Source organism: Homo sapiens, chromosome 5 (assembly GCF_000001405.40).
Source record: "Homo sapiens chromosome 5, GRCh38.p14 Primary Assembly".
Classification (NCBI taxonomy): Eukaryota; Metazoa; Chordata; class Mammalia; order Primates; family Hominidae; genus Homo; species Homo sapiens.
The window spans coordinates 168,517,489-168,543,329 of NC_000005.10; the positions used below are offsets into that span (position 1 = coordinate 168,517,489).

At 46.0% G+C, this 25,841-nt stretch overlaps 2 protein-coding genes across 2 annotated transcripts in view, besides 5 other annotated features; both read left to right on the forward strand.

Moving 5' to 3' along the window:
* RARS1 (arginyl-tRNA synthetase 1) overlaps nt 1-1,813 on the forward strand; it is a 32,831-nt gene extending 31,018 nt beyond the window's left edge. The window contains exons 14-15 of the mRNA NM_002887.4: nt 327-574; nt 1,593-1,813. Coding sequence (NP_002878.2) covers nt 327-574; nt 1,593-1,702 — 358 coding nt within the window. The 3' untranslated portion in view covers nt 1,703-1,813. The remainder of the gene's footprint in view (nt 1-326; nt 575-1,592) is intronic.
* Nucleotides 3,213-3,382: an enhancer, noted in NCBI's record as "experimental_83662 CRE fragment used in MPRA reporter constructs". NCBI's record gives its function as "activates a minimal promoter by MPRAs in K562 erythroleukemia cells, with activity observed for both the introgressed and non-introgressed 5:167947791 variant alleles {active_cell/tissue: K562}" and the evidence as "EXISTENCE:reporter gene assay evidence [ECO:0000049][PMID:34662402]".
* Nucleotides 10,976-11,270: a silencer, noted in NCBI's record as "tiled region #5384; HepG2 Repressive non-DNase unmatched - State 10:DNaseD, and K562 Repressive DNase matched - State 10:DNaseD". NCBI's record gives its function as "represses a minimal TATA promoter and a strong SV40 promoter by Sharpr-MPRA in HepG2 and K562 cells {active_cell/tissue: HepG2 | K562}" and the evidence as "EXISTENCE:reporter gene assay evidence [ECO:0000049][PMID:27701403]".
* On the forward strand, nt 11,817-13,146 carry FBLL1 (fibrillarin like 1). The gene has a single exon (NM_001355274.2). The coding sequence runs from the start codon at nt 12,017-12,019 to the stop codon at nt 13,019-13,021; it is 1,005 nt and encodes a 334-aa protein (NP_001342203.1). The 5' UTR covers nt 11,817-12,016; the 3' UTR covers nt 13,022-13,146.
* Nucleotides 12,124-12,665: an enhancer, noted in NCBI's record as "H3K27ac-H3K4me1 hESC enhancer chr5:167956617-167957158 (GRCh37/hg19 assembly coordinates)". NCBI's record gives its function as "activates a minimal SCP1, AML or CMV promoter by ChIP-STARR-seq in naive H9 embryonic stem cells {active_cell/tissue: H9 hESC(naive)}" and the evidence as "EXISTENCE:reporter gene assay evidence [ECO:0000049][PMID:30033119]".
* Nucleotides 13,521-13,690: an enhancer, noted in NCBI's record as "experimental_83672 CRE fragment used in MPRA reporter constructs". NCBI's record gives its function as "activates a minimal promoter by MPRAs in K562 erythroleukemia cells, with activity observed for the introgressed 5:167958099 variant allele {active_cell/tissue: K562}" and the evidence as "EXISTENCE:reporter gene assay evidence [ECO:0000049][PMID:34662402]".
* Nucleotides 18,484-18,984: an enhancer, noted in NCBI's record as "H3K27ac hESC enhancer chr5:167962977-167963477 (GRCh37/hg19 assembly coordinates)". NCBI's record gives its function as "activates a minimal SCP1, AML or CMV promoter by ChIP-STARR-seq in naive H9 embryonic stem cells {active_cell/tissue: H9 hESC(naive)}" and the evidence as "EXISTENCE:reporter gene assay evidence [ECO:0000049][PMID:30033119]".

The following is a 25,841-nucleotide window of genomic DNA, read 5'->3' on the forward strand; positions in this document are numbered from 1 at the left end:
GAAATACGTCCTCTTTTAGTATTGCAAGTTATCCCAGAATCCCTAAACCTGGCCTTAACTGCACTTGCCGATACTCTTCTAGATGCTCTATGTTTAAATACCTAGAAAGTGTCACCTGATCCCCTAAAAGAATTATATTTCCATTTTTAGTATTATGAAATGCTTTAGATCTGGCTATTAGTTTTGCCTAATAGTATATCGTATAATAAAATACTTCATTTTATAGGAACTTCTTTTTAATCGGTGATAATTTCGAGTGGAGAATGAGTGTGCCTAAAAAAAGGGAACAGTGGTGATTGCCTGATGATTTTTTTGTTTTTTTTAAGGTCTATTGCACGTCTGGCCAATATTGATGAAGAAATGCTCCAAAAAGCTGCTCGAGAAACCAAGATTCTTTTGGATCATGAGAAGGAATGGAAACTAGGCCGGTGCATTTTACGGTTCCCTGAGATTCTGCAAAAGATTTTAGATGACTTATTTCTCCACACTCTCTGTGATTATATATATGAGCTGGCAACTGCTTTCACAGAGTTCTATGATAGCTGCTACTGTGTGGAGAAAGATAGACAGACTGGTGAGTGTCTTTTTTTTTTTTTTTTTTTTTTTTAGTGAGAGACACGGATCTTGCTCTGTCCCTTGGGCTGGAGTACGGTGGTGAAATCATAGGTCACTGAAGCCTCAAACTTCTGGCCTCAAGTGATTCTCCCACTTGAGCCTCCCGAATGGCTGGACTTACACACGTGTGAGCCACTGCACCCAGCTCCAAGTGTCTCATTTAGTAGCCATATTAGGGATGGGGTGCCATTAAAGCATTTGAATTGTGTGGGAGTGGTTTTCAGATTTATTTTATTCATGGAAACTTCCACTTTTTCCCTAACAGTTGCACAGTGAACCATATCATATATAAAAGACAAAATGTGAAGTAGCACTTTAAACCAGAAATGGAACTCTGCCCAATCAGTCTACTTTTCTACAATTAGGCACATGAGATGGAACCTTAGGACTCCAAAGAAAACAATTGGAAGATGACTGAGAGTAGGATTTTTCCAACAAACACAATGTGTTTGTGGGTCCCAGGAGGAATCTTTGGGTGTTTTTGATAATGGAAACTTCTTGGAAAACACTTGTTATCTTTTCTTACCTTAGGCTGTCTTCCCTCTGTCATATTACATAGTTAATGAAGTAGCCAGAATTAATGTATTATAAGGCAAGTAGGCATTTGTTAAAGTCATGCCTGAGGACTGAAACTTTATTAGGGAAAAAAATCACCACTGTGATAATGAGGTTTATAGTTATTTCAGACCGTGAGGACTAGGAAAATTTTTTAAAAGAAAGGTAAAATTTACTGTTCTCATCATTGCAGACCTTATATCTCTTAATAGTTAAAAACACATTTCTTAACAGAAATGCCTTTATTTTTTAAATTGTTTGTCTTCATAGTTTAAGGTAAAGAAGATTCTAGTTAAAACCCAAAAACATCTGTGGGTTGGACTATGCACTTCTAACTAAAATTTGCAAGTAACATAGATTCTTTAATAATGATTTTCAAAAAGGAAAACAAGTTAATTAACAACTTTTTTCTATCTTTTCAGGAAAAATATTGAAGGTGAACATGTGGCGTATGCTGCTATGTGAAGCAGTAGCTGCTGTCATGGCCAAGGGGTTTGATATCCTGGGAATAAAACCTGTCCAAAGGATGTAATCCTTCATAGGTTTGAACACTGTGTGTTTTTACCAAAGTGGCCATTGGCACTGTTTGCTTTTTTACAATCATGTGGACACAAGCATAAGTAAAGAAAATTTGTCAACCAGGCAAAATGTGGTTCTTTAACAGCTAGAATTCTAAAAAGAAAAAAATCACTTCCACAAATATGCTTATATCTTGCTGAGCATTAAACCAAAATGACTTAGTGGAGGCCATGAAATAACAGGATTTATGCACCACAGTGAGAGTGTATTGACTTTGCAGGAATGTGGTTTATTAATTTTAATTAGATAAGGAATCCCATTTGTTGACCCTGAAAGGGCCCCAAGAATTTACGCCTCTTCATTGTCCCATTCATGTCTCATTTCATTGTTCTGTGAGAGATACTTAGCCTGTTTTACAAGTAACAAAACTTGAGACTGCACAGAGATAAGTAATTTGCCCTGGAATCCTCAGGAACAAAATTAAGATTCACACCCGTGCATGTTTAAAATCCCAAATTCAGGCTATTTCCATTTTAAGAGAAGGTGACATTGGCAATATAACAGACTTGGGTTCGGGGGAAGGGGGCAAGGAAATGTAGACTGGCAATTTTCCTGAAGCTCAAGATTAACTCTTAACATCTCATTGGCCAGATGCCAATCCCAGTTGCAAAGGAAGGTAGAAACCTAGAGTGAATGTCCAAGCTAAGAAGAGGATTGCTGTGATTTCCCTAGACCAGTCACAATTCATCCCCTGGGCAGGGCATATTGTCTCATTTCATGAAATTGGAATCTTTGTAGCAGCACAGAATATGGAGATTGGCAGTGGCAGCGAGAGGTTTTGGGGTACAGCTCCGCACACTGATTATTGAGTCAGCAGTTAATGGAATCTGCCAACACAAAACTGAAATGAGATTCCATGTAAAGCCAACACAATAGAAAAATGAATGTTTAATGAGCATGAATTGTATCATACCATGCTGTTTCTAAAAGTCTCCAAGCTTAGAGGAACCTTAGAGAGGATCTTAATGAGCTATAATAATAGCTTCCATTCACAAACTGGTATGTATAAGTCTAACATGTCCACATTAGATCGCTGCTCCCTCCAACAAACATGGGGAGGCTAAGCAGTTTCCTCTCACTCTACTAACTGCAAAGACAGTTCACCTAGACTACTGAGCCCTTGGGTCCGAAGACTCAGGAGACTTTAGGAATTAAAAACAAGATTCAGCCGGGCATGGTGGCTCACGCCTGTAATGCCAGCACTTTGGGAGGCCGGGGTGGGCAGATCACCTGAGGTTGGGAGTTCGAGACCAGCCTGACCAACATGGGGAAACCCTGTCTCTACTAAAAATACAAAAAATAGCCAGACGTAGTGGCGGGCGCCTGTAATCCCAGCCACTGAGGAGACTGAGGCAAGAGAATTGCTTGAACCCAGGAGTCAGAGGTTGCGATGAGCTGAGATCGCACCATTGCACTCCAGCCTGGGAGACAAAGCAAGACTCCGTCTCAAAAAAAAGAAAAAAGAAAAAACAGGATTCAGTGAGGTGGAGGAGAAAATAATGAAAGACTACAGGAGTATGTTAAATTAACCAAAGGTCATGATAAGTTCGTATACTGGAACATCATCTCGGATACCCCAGGCCATAACTATATCTTTAAAACACTGTCTTACCATAGTTTATAGATATATAAATACCATTTAATAATACAGATAATATCAGAAACCTTTCCTTAGGAATAGTATAGTTCTGATTCTCCTGTTTTTGTTTATAGAGACGAGGTCCTCTTCTGTTTTCCAGGCTGGAGTGCAATGGTGCCATTGTAGTTCACTGTGACTTTTTTTTTTTTTTTTTTTTTTTGAGACAGAGTCTCACTCTGTCACCCAGGCTGGAGTGCAGTGGTGCGATCTCGGCTCACTGCAACCTCCATCTCCCGGGTTCAAACAATTCTCATGCCTCAGCCTCTCAGGTAGCTGGGACTGCAGGCATGCACCACCATACCCTGCTAATTTTTTGTATTTGTAGTAGAGACAGGGTTTCACCATTTTGGCCAGGCTGGTCTCGAACTCCTGACCTCCGGGTGATCTGCCTGGCTCAGCCTCCCAAAGTGCTGGGATTACAGGTGTGAGCCACTGTGCCTGGCCATTCACTGTAACCTTGAACTCATGGGCTCAAGTGATCCTCCTGCCTGAGTCTGTAGTAGCTATGACTACGGTTGTGCTGATTAGCCTGTTTTTAATGTGCTAGCCTTTGGAAAAGCAAAGCCAGTTTGACTTCAGATAATCCTTAATCTCATGTAAGTCGGTGGGCCTTTGTGACCCTCAAATTTGCCTTCATTTGACCTCTAAAAAAAGTCAAAATAATTTTTTATTGGTTAATAGACAAAACACAATTTTTGCCAGGCGTGGTGGCTCACGCCTGTAATCCCAGCACTTTGGGAGGCTGAGGCAGGCGGATCACGAGGTCAAAAGATGAAGACCATCCTGGCCAACGTGATGAAACCCCATCTCTACTAAAAATACAAAAATCAGCTGGGCGTGGTGGCACACACCTGTAGTCCCAGCCACTCGGGTGGCTGAGGCAGGAGGATCGCTTGCTTGAACCCAGGAGATGGAGGTTGCAGTGAGCCGAGACAGCACCACTGCACTCCAGCCTGGGAGACAGAGCAAGACTCCATCTCAAAAAAAAAAAAAAAAAAAAAGAAAGAAAAGGAGAAAAACACAATTTTCAGATGTTCACTCATTTATCCTAACAAATGGGATGATCTTTCTGTGACCTCAAGCTTATTTACTGCATTCTAGGAAATTACAATACTATATATCAATAGCTCTAAACACTATAGATTGCAAGATACTATTGTTTTGCACTACTAAAAAATTTTGACAAACTTTTAAACTGATAGAACTTTCGTAAGTTAGAATTTTCATACTGAAAAGAGTCTTTTAGACTTTTGTTTGTGTCATGTATCACTTATGTACAAACTTAGCACAGGAAAATACAACTGAACTAAATTGGTTAAAATACTCCTAAAACTTCAGAGTCCCACTCTTTTGAGACACTTTTTGATGCAGTCATTAACATCTGTCTTTTCTAGACAATATCATCCTCTATGCTACCAAAAACATTGATGATGCAGCGCTTTGATGTTCCACTATAGTTCCCAGGATTATTATCTGAGTCCTGATATTCATGTGAAGGCGGCGATGACTATGTCACAACCGTCATCTGACTAATAATGACTGTGAGATGCATCGCAATTTCAGAAATGTTCAAATGTACATCCCAAAATTGATTAAACACCATAGTGTGAGGAATGAGGAAAATTAAGTTGGTCAGAAAACGTTTGACTTGGTATGGACCAGTGTCTCCACGTAAATATAAATTCTCCTCATTCCATTCTTTAATTTGCAGGGACCTGTTTGCTGAGCTAAGATCCATTACCTAGGTCTCTACTCAGTGCTTTTCCAAACACAGGGCTGCCTGAAGACTTCCGTCATCCAAAGATAATCTGGTTTGCTGGAATTCAGTTACTCTCCCCAATCCCACCCCCCCCACTGAGAATTCTAGTGCCAGTCCTACCTTCCACTGGCACTTCACAGGGCCAGTGGAATGACATTTAAAGTGCCAAAAGGGGGGGAAACTGTCAATCAAGACCTCTATATTCAGCAAAGCTATTCTTCAGAAAGGAAAATGGTATTAAGATGTTTCTCAATAAACAAAAAGTTTGTCACTAGAAGACCATCGTTACAAGAAATGCTAAATGTTGAAATGTAAGGACCCTAGACTAACAAAATCACACAACACCAGTAAAGGTAAGTACATAGTACAAAATATATTTTAAAAGTGTAAAAGATTATAAAATCAAGTATGTAGAAGTATAAAAATCAATAGTAATGCATTTTTTGTTTTTAACTTTTTTCTTAAAAAGCAACTGCGTATTAATAAACTGAAGAGGGAAATAAATACCCCACATGAACATCTCAATAGATCAGAAACAAAGTTGTCCACTCTTGCCACATCTACCTATTCAAGATGCCTTTAGTCCCAGCTACTCTGGAGGCTAAGGTGGGAGGATTGCTTGAGCCTGGGAGGCAGAGGTCACAGTGAGCCGTGATCATGCCGGTGCACCCTAGCCTGGGTGACAAAAGTGAGTATGCCCAACTAATTTTTGTATTGTAGAGACAGGGTTTCACCACGTTGGCCAGGCTGGTCTTGAACTCCTGACCTCAAGTGATCTGCCCACCTCAGCCTCCCAAAGTGCTGAGATTACAGGCGTGAACCACCACACTGCACCCAGCCCACACTTATTCAAATAAATTTTAAAAGCAGATTTAAACTAGGGCATAAATGGTACAGAGAAGTTAATATGCATCTACAATTTTATGCTAATTTTCTCATCATTTTTGACTTTGCTTCTTGGCCAATGTCAGCCCAAAATGGCCAGTATTAACCTTTCTAGAAAATCGGCTAAATAATATTCAGTTGATGGAGGTAATTATCTTAAGTGCAATGAGCCAGGCACAAACAGGCAAATATCACATGTTCTCACTTATATGTGGGAGCTAAAAAACAATTTTTTTTTTGAGACAGGGTCTAGCTCTGTTGCCCAGGCTGGAGTGCAGTGGCATGATCATCACAGCTCACTGCAACCTCCACCTCTCGGGCTCAAGCGATCCTCCCAGCTCAGCCTCCTGAGTAGCTGGGGCTACAGGCATATGCCACCATGCCTGGTTAATTTTTGTATTTTTGGCAGAGATGGGGTTTTGCCATGTTGCCCAGGCTGGTCTTGAACTCCTGGGCTCAAGTGATCACCTGCTTCAGCCTCCCAAACTGCTGAGATTACAGGCGTGAGCCACCGCACCTGGCTGGAAGCTAAAAAATTTGATCACATGGAGGTAGAGAGTGGAAAAACAGATAACAGAGACTGGGAAGGGTGAATGGGGGCAGGAGGGAAGATGAAGAGAAGTGGGTTAAAAGGTACAAACATACAGGCCTGGTGAGGTGGCTCACACCTGTAATCCCAGCACTTTGGGAGGCTGAGATGGGCAAATCACCTGAGGTCAGGAGTTCGAGACCAGCCTGGACAACATGGCAAAACCCCGTCTCTCCTGAACACACACACACACACACACACACACACACACACACACACACACACACACACACACACACACACACACACAGCCAGGCATGGTGGCATGTGCCTTTAATCCCAGCTACTCGTGGAGCCTGAGGCACAAGAATCACTTGAACTTGGGAGGAGGAGGTTGCAGTGAGCTGAAATCACACCACTGCACTCCAGCCTGGGTGACAGAGGGGGACTCCATCTCAAAAAAAAAAGAGAAAGAAAAAGGTACAAACATACAGTAAGATAGGAGGAACAAATTCAATGCTTGATAGCTGAGCAGGGTGATGATACTTAATAAAAATGTACTGTACTCCCATGATGGATACTTTAAATACCGACTTGATCACTGTGCCTTATACATGTCACAAAACTTCTCATGTACCCCATACATTTGTACAAATCAAAAAAATACTTGGTCGCATTATAGAAATTTCACTGGTTAATGAGAGTACATGGGGTCATCTAAAGTAAAACAATTTTTTGCTTTGTTTTGTTGCTTGGTTTGCTTTGCATTTTCATACCAGTTTAATTACATAAATATACATGGTGCTTATAAAATGTAATGGATTGAAGGGGAGCACAGTTAAACTCACTGTAATTTTTGTGGGGATTTTAGATTGTAGGAGTTTGATAGCTTGTATATATATATATATATATATATATATATATATATTTTTTTTTTTTTTTTTTTTTTTTTTTTTTTTTTTTTTGAGATGGAGTCTCACTCTGTCACCCAGGCTGGAGTGCAGTGGCACGATCTTGGCTCACTGCAAGCTCCACCTCCCAGGTTCACACCATTCTCCTGCCTCACCCTCCCCAGCAGCTGGGACTACAGCTGCACGCCGCCACGCCCAGCTAATTTTTTGGTATTTTTAGTAGAGACGGGGTTTCACCGTGTTAGCCAGGATGGTCTCGATCTCCTGACCTTGTGATCCGCCCGCCTCGGCTTCCCAAAGTGCTGGGATTACAGGTGTGAGCCACCACGCCCGGCCAGAATTTTTTTTTTATGTATTGAGATGGGGTCTCACTATGTTTTCCAGGTTGGTCTCGAACTCCTGAGCTCAAGTGATCCACCCACCTCAGCCTCCCAAAGTGCTAGGATTACAGGCATGAGCCACTACGCCCAGCCCAAATTTCAGATTCTTATTCTATAAAATGAAGAATTACAGAGAATTTCTAAGGTGTCTTGTGGAAAGAAGACCTTTGCAAAAGTAGGCCAGCTAAGCTTTTTGAGCATTTCCTGAATGGCAGCCACTAATTCTACAGTGGGGAATGGAGTAAGAGTCTGAGCCACCAAGAGACGAAGTGTCCCCCAGCAGAAGTAATGGCCAAACAATAATGACATCCCAAATAAGGGATTTTAGCTACTTTCCAAGTCCCAGAGGCTACAAAAAGGGAGAAGATTCTCTTTTTCTAATTAATTAACCAGCTATATTAGATATATTATTGGGAGTTGACTAAGATTGTGAGTTTTAGTCGTGTTAGGAAGGAGGTATTATATTTTGTCTTGACGAGTAAATTTAAATATATGCACGCCAAACAGTAAATTTCACCTGAGGTGTTTGTGTTTGGTGCACTGATCCAGGTGTGCCAGCTGGCATTATGCAGTAGACACCTAGGTAAAAACATTTACTGTTCCCCAGTTATGGCACCCACATATCTCAGCTGCCTTTCAGCTAGGCAGGGCATGTGACTGGCTTTGGCCAGTCATCAGCCAGGAGGCTGAAGTGGGAGAATTGCTTGAGCCTGGGAGATCAAGGCTGCAATCCGTGGTGAGTAGAAATGATTGTGTCAAAGTCCAGACTAAACATACAAAAAGGTTGTGAGTTCTCTGCACTCTATTCTTCAGCAGTACAGTGGAGGCCCTCTTTTTTCTCATGTTGCAGCCACAAGATGTTGGGGCCTGAGTTCTTCAGTGGCTGTGTGGTGCAAACCTCCCGCTGACTCTCAGTGGACATAAAACATAAGAAATCTAAACATAGCTGTATTAATACATTGAGATTTTGGAGTTCTATGTTACTGCATCATAGCCCAACTCCTCTTGAGCAAATATAGCTGCACCTGTCACTGGGGTGGAGATCAGATCCCTACAGTCAGTCACCTTTGGAGGTGGACCATGGCTTAGAGAAAACAAGTTTCTTCATGCATGGATGCTTAAAGTATAATGAGAATGGAGATGGGGTTATAGAGTATTACCTCTGGTTTCATGTCAATCATGGCTAGTTACTCCTTGGGCAATTTGTTGGAATGGTTCTGTGAGAAAATAAGCAAAATTCCTCATGCATTTTTTAAGTCTATGGGAATGATTGATGTGCACTATGTCTACTACTGAGGCCTAGTCACAGATGTAATTATGATCATTACTTTAGGGCACATCTTCTGGAATAACAAGTCAATTGTAAACAAAAGTATACATGGTGCCAAGTGTGGAGGCTTGTGCCTAGAATTCCAGCAACTCAGGAGGCTGAGGCAGGAGGATGGCTTGAGGCCAGGAGTTGGAGACCAGCTTGGGCAACATAATGAGGTCTCATCTCTACAAAAAGTAAAAAAAAAAAAAAAAAAAATTGCCAGGCATGATGGTTTATACCTATATAGAAAGAAACCTGGCTGGCCACTGTGGCTCACACCTGTAATCCCAGCACTTTAGGAGACTGAAACAGGAGAACTGCTTGAGTCCAGGAGTTTGAGACAAGCCTGGGCAACATAGTGAGGCTCCATCTCTATAAAGAATAAAATTTTAGCCTGGTGTGGTGGCACACACCTGTAGTCCCAACTACTCAGGAGGCTGAGGTGGGAGGATTGCTTGAGCCTGGGAGATCAAGGCTGCAATAGCCATGATTGTGCCACTGCACTCAGCTTGGGTGACAGAGTGATACCCTATCTTAGAATAAAAAAAGAAAAAATAAAGCCCTTTTCTTTATAAATTACCCAGTCTCAGGTATAGAAACAAATTAAGACAGTGGATTAATGCCCCAGCCTCCAACCTGCAGTAGAACAATTCTGAGATGCCTTCCACACAGTTTCTCAGAATACTCACAGCAATTGAGCTCCCATTGTCCACTGTGGTCATCTACTCATTAATCTACCCTCTTTTTTTTTTTTTTTTTTTTTTTGAGACAGGGTCTCCCTCTGTCACCTAAGCTGGAGTGTAGTGGTGTGAGTTCAGCTCACTGCAGCCTTGATCTCCCAGGCTCAAGCGACCCCTCCAGCTCAGCCTCCTCAGTAGCTGAGGTACTACAGGTACTACAGTGACTACAGGTACTACAGTGACTACAGGTACACACCATGACACCTGGCTAAGTCTTGTTTATTTTTGTAGAGACAGGGTCTTGCTATCATGCTAGGACTGGTCTTGAACTCGTGGGCTCAATCAATCCTCCCACCTTGGCCTCCCAAAGTGCTGGGATTACAGGTGTGAGGCACTGTGCCCAGTTCTTTCTTAACCTTTCTATCTTCTCTATCTCATTTTTGCCTCCCCAACATGTGCTTCCTGGGATCACCTCACAAACCAATTGGACTCAAGGCTTTGTCTCAGGATCTCTATTATTCAAGGTTCTCCAAAGACACAGGCCTGTAGGATATATATATGTGTGTATATATAGGATATATATTGGCTCATGTGATTGTGGAGACCAGCAGGTCCAAAATCCGCAGGGCCAATGTCCCAGTCCAAAGGTTGTCAGGCAGAAAGAGCTGATGTGCCAGTTGAAAGGCCCTTGGGCAGGAGAATTCTCTCTTCCGTGGGGAAGGTCAGCATTTTGCTTTATTTCTGCCTTCAACTGATTAGATGAGGCCCAGCCACATCGTAGACGGCAATCAGCTTTACTCAATATACCAATTTAAATGTTAATCTCATCAAAAAACACCCTCACAGAAACACTCAGAATACTATTTGACCAAATATCTGGGCATCCCATGGCCCAGTAAAGTTGACACATAAAATTAACCCTCACAGACACCAAGTGTAGTTCATCATTTTGGAAAATATTCACCTTATAGCAAGAATGGAAACCTCTAAGTAGAGTATTTTATGTGAACCATTCAACCTCAGGAATCATACATTTCACTCACTGATCCCTTGTTCACATTCCAGTGTATAAAACTCTGGTCCCCATTAAGGAGACACTCCAGTCCTCAGGGAAAATCAGACCTGGCACTGTCGTCCATGAGTATGAGACGGGAAGAGCTGTGGTCCAGGATGGAACGGAAGTCATACTGCACATACCAGGTGTTCAGTAAATGCTCCGATCTTCAGGTGCGCGTTGTCTCTCTCTCTCTCTCTCTCGAGTAGACACTTAATTCAACTAACGGGAGGCTGGCCAGTTGTTTCACCACCTATCCTACTTTCCCCAGCTCTTGTGTGGTTCCCAAAGCCCCTAGCAGTAGCCAAAACGGGGGCCCCAACTGCTGTCGCTGTCCCTGGTGCTGACTAAACCCTAAAGCCTCTGCGTTGCGGCCTTGGGGCCATTGGTGGTGCCGAGTTATTCTTTTATTTTCTTTCTGTTCTTTTCTTTTTTTCTTTTCTTCTCGTTGCTGCCCTTGGTGCTGCCCAATTATTCTTTTCTTTTCTTCTCCTCTCCCTCTCTCTCTTTTCTTTCTCTCTCTTTCTTTCTTTTTCTCTTTTTCTTTCTTTCCTCAAGAAAATGCTGCAGATTTAGAGAGTGACTTTGAAGCATAGACTAGACTTCGAGGATGAACATGACATTTTGGCTCTCTGTGTATCCCCATTCACACTGAAGAATCAACAACACTTCCTTGCTGATCAATAGTCCCAGAACTGGTGGCACAGCCAGGACCGACGCTGATGCTTACCTCCCCCTCTCCTGCAGCAGAGACGCCCCCGTCCCTGTGGCCCAGGGAAGTGCCAGGGATCCCTGGGAAGGCGGGAGATGGGGAAGGGGCAGGGTGAGCGAAGAGGAGCAGGCTGCGTCTGCACGCGGGCTGGGAAGCGGGGCTTCCGGGCCGCAGGGTCGCGGGGACGGGTGTGATGCAATCGCGCCACAGCCGCTGCGTCAAGGGGCGGCTCCGGGATGCGGGCACTGCGGTAGAGCCCGTCCTGCCCCCGCCGCCCGCCGCCCGCCGCCCGCCTCCGCTGCTAAACCCGCGGACAACCGCCGGGACGACCACCCAGAGCCACCAGAGCCCCCTGACACCCGCCCCGAGGCACCGGTAACCCACGGCACCCGCCCCGGTGCGTGCCATGAAGTCGGCCGCGAGCTCGCGCGGGGGCGGTGGGGGCGGCCGCGGGGGCGGCGGCTGGGGCAGCTGGGGCGGGGGCCGAGGCGGCGGCGGCGGCGCGGGCAAGGGCGGCGGGGGCGACGGCGGCGGCCAGGGGGGCAAGGGCGGCTTCGGGGCGCGGGCGCGCGGCTTCGGCGGGGGCGGCCGGGGCCGGGGGCGCGGCGGCGGCGACGGCAAGGATCGCGGCGGCGGTGGACAGCGGCGGGGCGGCGTGGCCAAGAGCAAGAGCCGCCGCAGGAAGGGCGCCATGGTGGTGTCGGTGGAGCCGCACCGGCACGAGGGCGTCTTCATCTACCGCGGGGCGGAGGACGCGCTGGTCACGCTGAACATGGTGCCGGGCCAGTCTGTGTACGGCGAGAGGCGCGTCACGGTGACCGAGGGCGGCGTGAAGCAGGAGTACCGCACGTGGAACCCGTTCCGCTCTAAGCTGGCCGCGGCCATCCTGGGCGGGGTGGACCAGATCCACATCAAGCCCAAGTCCAAGGTGCTGTACCTGGGCGCCGCGTCGGGCACCACCGTCTCCCATGTCTCCGACATCATTGGCCCAGACGGCCTGGTCTACGCCGTCGAGTTCTCCCACCGCGCCGGCCGCGATCTGGTCAACGTGGCCAAGAAGCGCACCAACATCATTCCGGTCCTGGAGGACGCGCGGCACCCGCTCAAGTACCGCATGCTCATCGGGATGGTGGACGTGATCTTCGCCGACGTGGCCCAGCCGGACCAGTCCCGCATCGTGGCCCTGAACGCCCACACCTTCCTGCGCAATGGGGGCCACTTTCTCATCTCCATCAAGGCCAACTGCATCGACTCCACCGCATCCGCCGAGGCTGTGTTTGCTTCTGAGGTGAGGAAGTTGCAGCAGGAGAACTTGAAGCCTCAAGAGCAGCTGACCCTGGAGCCCTATGAGCGGGACCACGCTGTGGTGGTCGGGGTCTACCGACCTCTTCCCAAGAGCAGCAGCAAATAGCACCCAGCTCAGGCTCGCCTGCCATCTCCCCAAGGCTGCGTTGTGTTTGCTATTATTTTCTGTGTGTTTTCTTTGTGAGTGTTTTGTTTTGTTGTTTTTCTATTAAACTGCATAAAGAAACGGCACCTATCTGTATGGTGATGCCAGGCTAGGTTTTGCTGCAGTAACAATCAACCCCCAAATCCCAGTGGCCTAAACCGGCTGGTATAAGGGGCCCATCCAGCAGTAGCCTGGGAGCTGTGCTCATTCTAATCACTCAGGTCTCCAACTCCCCAGGGCCCCATTTTCACACATGCTCCCCCCATCCCTAGGGCAGAGGAAAGAGAGCTGCGGAATTGCTAATAAAAGCTTTTAAATGTCCCCTTGGAACTGATGGGGCACTTCTGCTCACATTTGGCCAAGTCACATGACCCAGCCTGACTCGGGAAAAACACTGAATGTTGGTGGACAATAATATAGTCAAACACACCAATCATCTGACTCACAGCCAAAGTCTTAACCACAATAGGTTTTTAGTATTTTACTCTTCAACTAAGCCCTTTTGCATTCACTGTTAAAGTGAATAATAAATAAATGTTAAATTTATTCCTCACACCAGCCCTGAGATGGCTTTGTTAGCACTTGCATATTACATGTGAAGCAACAGGGCTTCTGAAGGTAAACTATTTTGCCCAAACGTACATAGCCAGTAAGGAGGTAGAACTTAAATGCCAGTCTTCGGGGCTCTAAATCCATTGCTGTTTCCTCAGCACCAGGGGGATCTTGTCTCTGGTCCCCAACCCCTATGGCATGTGCACAGGGACACACTTAGAGCAGGGCCCTGTGACCTTATTGTGTTCTTTCGCCCTCCCCTGTCCCCCCCGGGCTACCCCTTTGTTTGGTTTCACAATAGCAAAACAAGATGCGGGGCAGATGTGGGTCTAGCTAGCAGACTGTCTCTACTACAGGGCATAACATACCCAAAGTGGTATCACCAAGTGTCTGCAGAACAGGCAGACAAATTACTCCCAGAAAGTATCTGTCTTTGCAAGGCATGTCCTGCACTTCCCAAGTTGCTGGTCTCAGTACCTCGCAGTCTCTCTCCAAAGCAGCCCAAAGGGAAGGGAGAGTGGGTAATCCGAGGAAAGCTGAGAATGCCCCAAAGGCCCAGTAAATCCCTCCAAGCCAGACTTTTCATTCATTCATGCATGCATGCATACACACTCCCAACTGCCAAAAAGACCCACATCAACATTTAGTCTTTGAATGATTGCTCACTAATGTATCATTTGGAGGGTGGATTTGCCTTTCTAAAGATGTGCTTGGGCAGCAATTGTGGTTAGTCTGCTTTTTCTGAGGGCATACTTCTTGAACAACAACAAAGGATAAATCAGACTTTTTATTTTTGTTTTATTTTATTTATTTTATTTGAGACAGGTCTTGCTCTGTCGCCAAGGCTGGAATGCAGTGGCGCAATCATGGCTCACTGCAGCCTTGAACTCCTAGGCTTAAGTGATCTTCCTGCCTCAGCCTACCACACCTGGCTAATTTAAAAAAAAAATGTTTGTGGAGAAACAGTGTCTCGCTTTGTTGCCGAGGCTGGTCTTGAACTCCTTGCTTCAAGAAATCCTCCTGCCTCAGACTCCCACACTGGGATTAGAGGCGTGAGCTATGGCACCTGGTCCAAATCAGACTTTTGAAAAGGCTGCCACTCTTTCACCACTCCCCCATCCTACGCCACCCCAAAATTCAGAAAGGGAATTACAGTTCAGATGTATCAGCAAGACTGACTCAGGAAGAAGAGAGTGAATGCCGTACATGTCTATTTCCATAAACAATGGAAATCTTCATTACAACCCTGCAAAGCCAGGATCACTTTTCCTATTTAGCATATAAGAACACTGCAGTTCAGAGATGAAAGTGCCTGGTTTAAGATCCCCCAGAAAGGCTCACAGCCAGAAATCACAGCTTTGTTAGTCTGACTCCAAAACCTATGTCATTTTCACTGAAGTCTGTGCTGGTTCTGTTGCCTTGAAAAGCCCTCTCTCCAATCCTAGGCTAATTTATTAGTTGCTGTGATGAAGCCCTGAGGCTGGGGTGGACTCCCTGGGAACAGGAACTGTTTCCTCACTAGGGGAAGACAGAAGCAGCTGGGTACTCAGGAGGGAGGGGCTCTGCAGCAGCTGAGGCCCATGACCCAGCCCCTCCTCAGAGCCAGATGGGCTCCATAAAGGAGCTCTTGATTGCTCCTTAAAGGTTTTTCCCCCCAGCATGGGGGATGAAGCAGGGGAAACTCTACCTCCTTCCTTGGCATGGGAACTCCCATTCCCTGCCCCTCCTGCCGCAAGTGAAATTTAAAGTCATGTCTGAAGCTTCTCAAAGAGGGAACCATTCATGAGGAAATGGCAACAAAACAATCTCCTGAAGAATTTCCCTGCATTGCAGATGAGTTCCTGAGCCAATGGAATGACATGGTGAGTACCAGGAAAAATATAGGAATAAGGGCCAAGGGAATACAGGAAGGGAGCTGGAACCTGGTTTTAGAGGATGATGGCAGGGAAAAGAATGGGACTATAGTCTGGGCACAGTGGCTCATGCCTGTGATCCCAGCACTTTGGGAGGCCAAGGCACATGGATAACTTGAGTCCTTGAGTCGAGACTAGCCTGGTCAACATATGAAACCCCATCTCTACTAAAAATACAAAAAATAGCTGGTGGCGGGCAACTGTAATCCTAACTTCTTGGGAGGCCGAGGCAGAAGAATCGTTTGAACCTGGGAGGTGGAGGTTCCAGTGAGCTGAGATCATGTCACTGCGAGACTCTGTCTAAAAAAAAAAAAAAAAATTATCGGACTGTAACTCCAGTGGGCCTTGGGTCCCAAGAAACCTAGAAGTAGCAGTGACCCTGGTTAACAGACCTGCTCAGAGCCAGGAATGCTTCAGTGACTATCAGCTTGGGTTCCAAGAAGCCTTTACATTTGGGTCTCTAGGTATATTAGTCTTCTCAGGCTGTTGTAACAAAATACTACATGCTAGGTGGCTTAAACAACAGATACTCATTTTCTCACTATTCTGGATGGAGGCTAGAAGTCCAATATCAAGGTGCTGGAATTCAGTTTCTGGTGAGGACTCTCTTCCTGGCTTGTAATCGGCCACCTTCTTGCTGTGTCATATATGTGGCCTTTCCTCTGTTCACACACAGTGAGAAAGAGAGAGCTCTTTGGTGTTTCTTCCCCTGTTTAGAAGGATACCAATCCTGCTGGATTAGGATCCTACTCTTAGGACCTCTTTTAACCTTAATTACCTCCTTAGGGCCCTATCCCCAAATATAGTAACACTGGGGATTGGGGCTTCAATTTGTGAATTTTCTGGGACACAATTCGGTGCATAACCCTAGGGTTAGATGAGAATGTTCAGCTAAAATGACTGTCTTACTGGATTGTGAGCTTTGGCTGAGGAGACCAGTGTTTAATGTGAAAATACCTGCCAACAGCCTGGCACTAAGTGCTCTGCCTGTTTTTTTCCCCCCACCTCTTACTGTCAATAGAGAATAATAAGGTGGCTGAGAATTAAGTTTAAGACCGGGCGTGGTGGCTCACCCCTGTAATCCTACAACTTTGGGAGGCTGAAACGGGCAGATTGTCTGCGCTCAGGAGTTCAAGACCAGCCTGGGCAACACAATAAAACCCCATCTCTACTAAAATAGAAAAGAAATTAGCTGGGCATGGCGGCGTGCACCTGTAGTCCCAGCTACTTGGGAGGCTGAGGCAGGAGAATTGCTTGAACCTAGGAGGCAGAGGTTGCAATGAGCCGAGAATGCACCACTGCACTCCAGCCTGGGTGACAGAGTGAGACTCCGTCTCTTAAAAAAAAAAAAAAAAAAAAGTTTAAAACGGGCCCAGCACAGTGTTCAGGCCTGTAATCCCAGCACTTAGGGAGGCTGAGGCAGGAGAATCGCTGGAACCCAGGAAAGTGGAGGTTGCAGTGAGCTGTGATCACACCACTACACTCCAGCCTGGGCAACAGAGCAAGACACAGTCGAGGTTGCAGTGAGCTGTGATCACACCACTGCACTCCAGCCTGGGCAACAGAGCGAGACACTGTCGAGGTTGCAGTGAGCTGTGATCACACCACTGCACTCCAGCCTGGGCAACAGAGCGAGACACTGTCTCAGAATAAATAAGTAAATAAATAAAAGTTTACATAAATGCCAGGGGTTGCCTTGGAGTCGAGGGGGTGGGGAACACACTTAGCAAGTCTTCTGAGGGGACTGCCCTGTGCTGGGAGCTGGGGGGAGCTTGCCACTGAGTTTCAGAGTCAGCGGCTCCATCCTGGGCCACGGGAGAGGACTCAACCCAAGCATCAGTGAGTGCCTGGCTGCAGTCACCTCTGCAGCAGAGGCAGCGAGGGTGGAGGCTGGTGCTCAAAGGCCAGGCAAGAGGGGCCATGTGTCCACAGCGTCAGCAGAAGCCTCAGAGAACAGGCGGAATAGAACTCCCATCCACCAGCACCATGATGTCTGCCAGCTTCTCCCTCGCTCAGATGCCTCCTGAGGTGAAGGGAAAAAGAATGGGGCAGGAGAAGATCCGAGGGAATGAAGCTTTATCCAAAAGAGGCTGTTTTAAATGGGAAGAAGAAACCATGTTCCATTAATTAGCACTTTCCCCTGCCAACCCTGCATTAAGCAAGATGTTCTGGCTCATCTGAGCTATGGTGAGCACTACATTGGATACTGCTACTCTAATATTTATCAAGCACTTATCATGTCCCAGGCAGAAAACTCAGTATTTCTTTGATCTTTAGAAGTACGACTTTTTTTTTTTTTTTTTTGCGACAGGGGTTTCGCTCTGTCACCCAGGCTGGAGTGCAGTAGCACAATCTCAGTTCACTGCAACCTCCTCCTCCCAGGTTCAAGTGATTCTCCTGCCTCAGCCTCCCAAGTAGCTGGGACTACAGGCACCCACCACCATCCCCAACCTAATTTTTGTATTTTTTTAGTAGAGACAGGGTTTCACCATGTTGGCCAGGCTGGTCTCGAACTCCTGACCTAAAGAGATCCACCCACCTCAGCCTTCCAAACTGCTGGGATTACAGACATGAGCCACCGTGCCCGGCCTCATGATTTTTAAATTAATAACAAAAACAAACATTCCAGAAAGTGCCGACACTAACATTCCACTTGATGAATTGCTGCAAAATGAACACTGGTGTCAGAGCTGCCCCTAGCATTTGTGTGGCAGGGAGCAAGAGCATTTGTAAGGACCCTGGCCCATGGCTTCCCCTTTCTCTTCCCACTCCTGGTTCCCACCCCTGGAGGGGCCTCATGCACACTGCTGTAGATACTCAGCCCTCCAGTCCAGGATCCGTACCCAGGCCCTTCAAACAGCCTCCTTGAAGCCACTCCTTGGGACTAGAGTTGCAAGCTGGGAGCAGGGTCTCTCTGGGGGACCAGCCTGGGGAGGAGGACTGGAATAGGGCTTGCATTGTTCAGGCAGAGTTCTGAGTGCCTGATGCATAATCCAGAAGGTGAGAGATGTGGCTTCTGGGGGGCATGGCACTTGGTCCCTATGGACTCCTTGCCTCACAGGACAAGGAACAGACAGAGGAAGGCCAGAGTGCAGTCTTTCTTTCTTTCTTTCTTTTTTTTTTTTTTTTTTGAGACGGAGTTTCGCTCTTGTTGCCCAGGCTGGAGTGCAATGGCATGATCTCGGCTCACCGCAACCTTCACCTCCCAGGTTCAAGAGATTCTCCTGCCTCAGCCTCCCTAGTAGCTGGGATTACAGGCATGTGCCACCACACCTGGCTAATTTTGTATTTTTAGCGGAGATGGGGTTTCTCCATGTTGGTCAGGCTGGTCTCAAACTCCTGACCTCAGGTGATCCACCCGCCTCGGCCTCCCAAAGTGCTGGAATTACAGGCATGACCCACCGTGCCTGGCCAGAGTGCAGTCTTTTAAAGTGCAGGAGGCCAGGTACGGTGGCTCATGCCTGTAATCCCAGCACTTTGGGAGACAGAGGTGGGCAGATCGCCTGAGCTCAGGAGTTCATGACCACTCTGGGCAACATGGCAAAACCCCGTCTCTACTAAAATACAAAAAATTAGCTGGGCATGGTGGTGCGTGCCTGTAGTCCCAGCTACTCGGGAGGCTGAGGCATGAGAATCCCTTGAGCCTGGGAGGTGGAGGTTGCAGTGAGCCGAGATTGTGCCACTGCACTCCAGCTTGGGCTACAGAGTGAGACTCTGTCTCAAAAGAAAAAAAAAAAAGTGCTGGGCCCAGAACAGGGGCCCAGCACAGGGGCCCAGTTGCCAATGACTAAGAGTGTCCCCTTTGCCTGTCCACCCATCCAGTCTCAGCATTCCTCTATGAAGATGCAAAGTCTACCCCTTCCCAGGAGTCCTTCCAGGCCCATCGACTCACAGGAAGCTCCTTCTGACATTACAGCTCTTGGTTAGTATTCTTGATGAAGACACTGCATGCGGGGTGCTTCCATGCACCTTCTTTCACTGAATCCGCACGCACAGCACCCCCAGGAGGCAAGTGTTATCATCCCTGTATCACTGATGAGGAAACTGAGGCTCAGAATTCTAGGTGATGTCAGTCAGTCAAGGTAGTGTAGCTGGAGGGCGGGAGAGCTGAGATTTCTGGAGCAGAATTGCATCTCTGGTCTAAGTCAGTGAAATTACAATCAGATGCTCTAGGGAAAGGCCTGGCATTGGTATTTTTATAAGCTCCCCACGTGATTCTAAGGTACAGCCAGGACTGAGGCCCACTATTGAAAATGCTGTATCATTTTTGTCATCAGCTGGGAAAGGCAGATTTAGGATGGTATTTTGAATAACTGGAAGACAACAGCTGAGCATTTCTGCGGTGCCTGCTGGTACTTGGGGCCTCTTTGACAACAGAGGATGCTCCCAGAGATTCCACCAAGGCCAATGATTGAAGTCAGGGCCTAAAAACAAAGTTCTTGCTACTCCTGTTCTTTGGTCACCTGACTGCACACTGCATGCTGAGGATGTTTGTTAGAGAGAGAGCTGAGCTGACAGGCAACAGAGGCACCAGTGAAGCCAGGAGCTCAAAATGCAAGTATTAAGTCTGCAGTCACTGTGATAGTATAAGCAAGAGACTGAAATAGAGAAAGCACTGATTGCCCGTTCCATTTTCCCCCGTGGAATGGCGCACCCGGCAAGGGCCAAGTCGATCAGCCCAGTCAGGGTTGTCTCAGTATTGAAGGAGCCCCCAACGAAAGACTGGCAGTTTCTTGGGCCCTGAGGTGAGGAGGGTGAGGAGGAAGGGGTAGGAGCAGAGAAGTACTGAGTTAGTGGGGAACAGCATCTTCAGGCTTTTGCCCTCTTGATGGCCTATGCCCAAGGCCTCGGATAGTGGGACCCAGAAACGAAGATGCAGAGCATGAGCAGGGGAGGGGACTGAGTCCTTGACTGCAACTCCCTTCAGAGACTGCAGTGCACCAGGGTCCTCCTGAGGACTGCCAGGGAAAGCCTTTGGTCCGGCCTAAAAACATCACACATAGGTGCTGGCCAGGAGCCGGAGCCCTTGGGGTTTACCTTCTACAGACTGTAAGTACAGGCTCCCAGTACTTCAGTTGGTTTTTTGGTCTCTTGAGCAAAAGCATTTTATGAACTTCTCTCTAAATCTTGCCTTCGCACTTTTCACTTATTTCTCATGTTTGCCTCTTCCATCCCCTGGTGACCACCAAGCCGCATGTCTACTGCTCAGGACACACCTATCATCCTTCCCATCCCACTGCCTCCAGCCGAGCCTCTGCTTCCTGCCTGGAGGACTCAGGTGCCTGAAAACACAATGCAAGAATTCTAGCTGCTTGTAATAGCCATTGTGTTTGGCAGTTTTTGTTGTTGTTTTTTTTAATCTGGGCCACACAGGAAGGCTTCCAGAAACATTGGACAAGAGCTGAGGAAGAACCTGAAGTAGTTTTGATGGAAAACACTGTCTTTCTTACCTCTTCATGTGATTTTAGTCTTCTCCCACCCAAAAGTCCTTCCTTCCCACTCATCTTTCCATCTCACTGCCTCTGGGAACCCCAAATCCAACAGTTACTTAACCCATGAGGACTTCGATCCACCAATCCACCATCTTTTCACCATCCCTTCAATAAATTCCCATTGTCCTCATTTCCCTCCTCGCCTGGCTGAGATTTCATGGTCCATCATTATAATCACTTCCTTACATTACACTTATCCCTCTTTCCCTTCATTTTTGCTTGCAAACTGGCCAGTCCTTTCCCGAACCTACCTCTTTCTTGGAGAAAATCATCAAATGGAAACAAAGCTGCCAATACCAGCTACTAACAATGTTTGCCAGCTTCTCTTAATGCCACAGGTTCATTGGTTCATGACCTACCTTCCAAGGTATCATGTCATCAGGTTCACCTCTTCCTAAATGAACAGCATCCTTCTAGCCTCTGAAAACACCTTCTTTGCCACCTGCTGCCAGCCTCTAATCCAATGCCACATAGTTTAGGTTTTTGTTCTTCAGTGGCATTCCATCTCTGGTATCAACTTCTGTATCAGTTGGGATAGGCCAGGTTATGCTGGGGTAACAAACCCCTAAATCTGTGGTGTAAAAAAACAGTTTGTTTTCTTCCTTATACTCCACCTTCATTAATGTGGTGAGGGAGTGAGGAGAAAGGAGCTTTGCTAATTTTTGTCACTTAGGGATCCAGGCTGACAGAGCAGCCACTATCTCAAAGGCTGCTGGCTTCTATTAGCAGGAAAAGAGGGCTCTGGAGGGTATCAAATAGGTGACTAAGTGCTCCAGCCAAAAAGTAGCATGCACCACTTCCAAACACAACTCTCACTCACTAGTTGGCCAGAGCTAATCCTATGAACCCACCCTCTCAACTGCAAGGGAGCCAGCAAGCACAATCCTACCATGTAGCTAAAAAGCGGTTTATTGAAATCCGTGCTGAACATGAATGACCACCATCAGAAGATACTATTATTAGCCTCATTTTGCATGTGGTAAGGCACAGGTTAAGAATTTGTCTGAGACTTTATGCCTAGTAATTATGTCAGAGTAGGATTTGAACTCATGCTCCAGAATATTTTTGTTTTGTTTTGTTTTTTTGAGACAGGGTCTTGTTCTGTCACCCAGGCTGGAGTGCAGTGGTGTGATCTCGGCTCAGTGCATCCTCCACCCTGGATCAAGTGGTTCTCGTGCCTAAGCCTCCTGAGTAGCTGGGATTACAGACATGCACCACCATGCCCAGCTGATTTTTGTATTTTTAGTAGACATGGGGTTTTGCCATGTTGGCCAGGCTGGTCTCAAACTCCTGACCTCAAGTGATCTGCCTGGCTTGGCCTCCCAAAGTGCTGGGGACTACAGGTATGTGCCACCACACCCAGCTAATTTTTTTTTTTTTTTTTGAGACAAGGTCTTGCTATGTTGCCTGTGTAGCTCTTGAATTCCCAGCCTCAAGTGGTCCTCCTGCTTTGACCTCCCAAAGCACTGGGATTATAGGCATGAACCACTGTGCCTGGCCTAGAAGTTGTTTTCCTTTTAAACTCAAATCTCACACTCCTCTAACTGGCAAGTTTGGCCCATTAATATTTTCATCTTTCTGGTTTTTTCCACATTTAAATTGTCCTGCTTTTTCTGTATTGATTGCTCTTTCTTGTTATAACAAAATTTATTATTATTATTATTTCTGAGACAGGGTCTTGTTCTGCTGCCCAGGCTGAAGTACAGTGGTGCAATCTGGGCTCACTGCAACCTATGCCTCCTGGGTTCAAATGATCCTCCCACCTCAGCCTCCCTAGTAGCTGGGACCACAGGCAGGCATCACCAGCTAATTTTTAAATTTTTTGTAGACAAGGTCTCACTATATTGCCCTGGGTGGTCTTGAAATCCTGGGCTCAAGCAATCCTCCTGCCTTGGTCTCCCAAAAAGCTGGAATTACAAGTGTAAGCCACTGCGCCCAGTTCCAAATTATTTATTTGGATAACATTCTGGTGCCATATGCCATTTGTCCAATACAAAGAGGGTATTAAAAAAAAGCACTGGGATGGAGGTGAGGACACCTAGGGTTGAGTTTTGGTTCTCTTAATAACTTGCTGTGTGATCTAGGACAATCTAGTTGACTTCTCTGGACTTTTTGTCCTCCCTATAAACAAATCTTGAGTTTGATTCAGCAGTCTGTGAGATTCCTGCTAACTCTTGGATTCTCTGTTCCCAAGTTTGGCTGGTCACTGGCTCTTGATATGTGAAAAATCCTAGGGCACCTCTAATTTGAAGTTTGCTCTTAGACGATAAGAGTCTTTTTAAGATTCAGGATAGCTGGGTGTGGTGGGGCATGCCTGTAGTCCCAGCTAGTTGGAAGGCTGAGGTGAGAGGATCGCTTGAGCTCAGGAGTTGGGAGGCCAGCCTGGACAATATAGTGAGACTCTGTCTCTTAAAAAAAGATTCAGGGCCGGACGTGGTGGCTCATGCCTGTAATCCCAACACTTTGGGAGGACAAGATGGGCAGATCACTTGAGCCCAGGAGTTTGAGACCAGCCTGAGTCACATAGGGAAACCCTATTTCTGCAAAAAGTAAATTTAAAAAATTAGCTGCATATGGTGGTGCGTAACTATGGTCCCAGATACTCAGGAGGCTGAGGTGGAAGGACAGCTTGAGCCTGGGAGTTTGAGGCTGCAGTGAATCATGATACCGTGCCACTGCAATCTAGCCTGGGTGAAAGAATGAGACCCTGTTTCAAAAAAAAAAAAAAAAAAAGATTCAGGATGGCCATTTTTTCTTCACGACATTGAGAAGAGTTTAGACTAAAGTAGCATTATAGAGCTAGGCACGGTGGCTCACGCCTGTAATCCCAGCACTTTGGGAGGCCAAGGCAGGCAGATCACTTGAGGTCAGGAGTTCGAGACCAGCTTGGCCCACATGGCAAAACCGTGTCTCTATTAAAAATACAAAAATTAGCCAGGCATTTCTAGTTCTAGATCCCTGAGGAATCGCCACACTGACTTCCACAATGGTTGAACTAGTTTACAGTCCCACCAACAGTGTAAAAGTGTTCCTATTTCTCCACATCCTCTCCAGCACCTGTTGTTTCCTGACTTTTTAATGATTGCCATTCTAACTGGTGTGAGATGGTATCTCATTGTGGTTTTGATTTGCATTTCTCTGATGGCCAGTGATGATGAGCATTTTTTCATGTGTCTTTTGGCTGCATAAATGTCTTCTTCTGAGAAGTGTCTGTTCATATCCTTTGCCCACTTTTTGATGGGGTTGTTTGTTTTTTTTCTTGTAAATTTGTTTGAGTTCACTGTAGATTCTGGATATTAGCCCTTTGTCAGATGAGTAGGTTGTGAAAATTTTCTCCCATTTTGTAGGTTGCCTGTTCACTCTGATGGTAGTTTCTTTTGCTGTGCAGAAGCTCTTTAGTTTAATTAGATCCCATTTGTCAATTTTGGCTTTTGTTGCCATTGCTTTTGGTGTTTTAGACATGAAATCCTTGCCCATGCCTATGTCCTGAATGGTAATGCCTAGGTTTTCTTCTAGGGTTTTTATGGTTTTAGGTCTAATGTTTAAGTCTTTAATCCATCTTGAATTAATTTTTGTATAAGGTGTAAGGAAGGGATCCAGTTTCAGCTTTCTACATATGGCTAGCCAGTTTTCCCAGCACCATTTATTAAATAGGGAATCCTTTCCCCATTGCTTGTTTTTCTCAGGTTTGTCAAAGATCAGATAGTTGTAGATATGCGGCATTATTTCTGAGGACTCTGTTCTGTTCCATTGATCTATATCTCTGTTTTGGTACCAGTATCATGCTGTTTTCGTTACTGTAGCCTTGTAGTATAGTTTGAAGTCAGGTAGCGTGATGCCTCCAGCTTTGTTCTTTTGGCTTAGGATTGACTTGGTGATGTGGGCTCTTTTTTGGTTCCACGTGAACTTTAAAGTAGTTTTTTCCAATTCTCTGAAGAAAGTCATTGGTAGCTTGATGGGGATGGCATTGAATCTATAAATTACCTTGGGCAGTATGGCCATCTTCACGATATTGATTCTTCCTACCCATGAGCATGGAATGTTCTTCCATTTGTTTGTATCTTCTTTTATTTCATTGAGCAGTGGTTTGTAGTTCTCCTTGAAGAGGTCCTTCACGTCCCTTGTAAGTTGGATTCCTAGGTATTTTATTGTCTTTGAAGCAATTGTGAATGGGAGTTCACTCATGATTTGGCTCTCTGTTTGTCTTTTATTGGTGTATAAGAATGCTTGTGATTTTTGTGCATTGATTTTGTATCCTGAGACTTTGCTGAAGTTGCTTATCAGCTTAAGGAGATTTTGGGCTGAGATGATGGGGTTTTCTAGATACCATTTGACCCAGCCATCCCATTACTGGGTATATACCCAAAGGACTATAAATCATGCTGCTATAAAGACTCATGCACACGTATGTTTATTGCGGCACTATTCACAATAGCAAAGACTTGGAACCAACCCAAATGTCCAACAGTGATAGACTGGATTAAGAAAATGTGGCAAATATACACCATGGAATACTATGCAGCCATAAAAAATGATGAGTTCATGTCCTTTGTAGGGACATGGATGAAATTGGAAATCATCATTCTCCATAAACTATTGCAAGGACAAAAAAACCAAACACCGCATGTTCTCACTCATAGATGGGAATTGAACAATGAGAACACATGGACACAGGAAGGGGAACATCACACTCTGGGGACTGTTGTGGGGTGGGGGGAGGGGGGAGGGATAGCATTAGGAGATATATCTAATGCTAAATGATGAGTTAATGGGTGCAGCACACCAGCACGGCACACATATACATATGTAACTAACCTGCACATT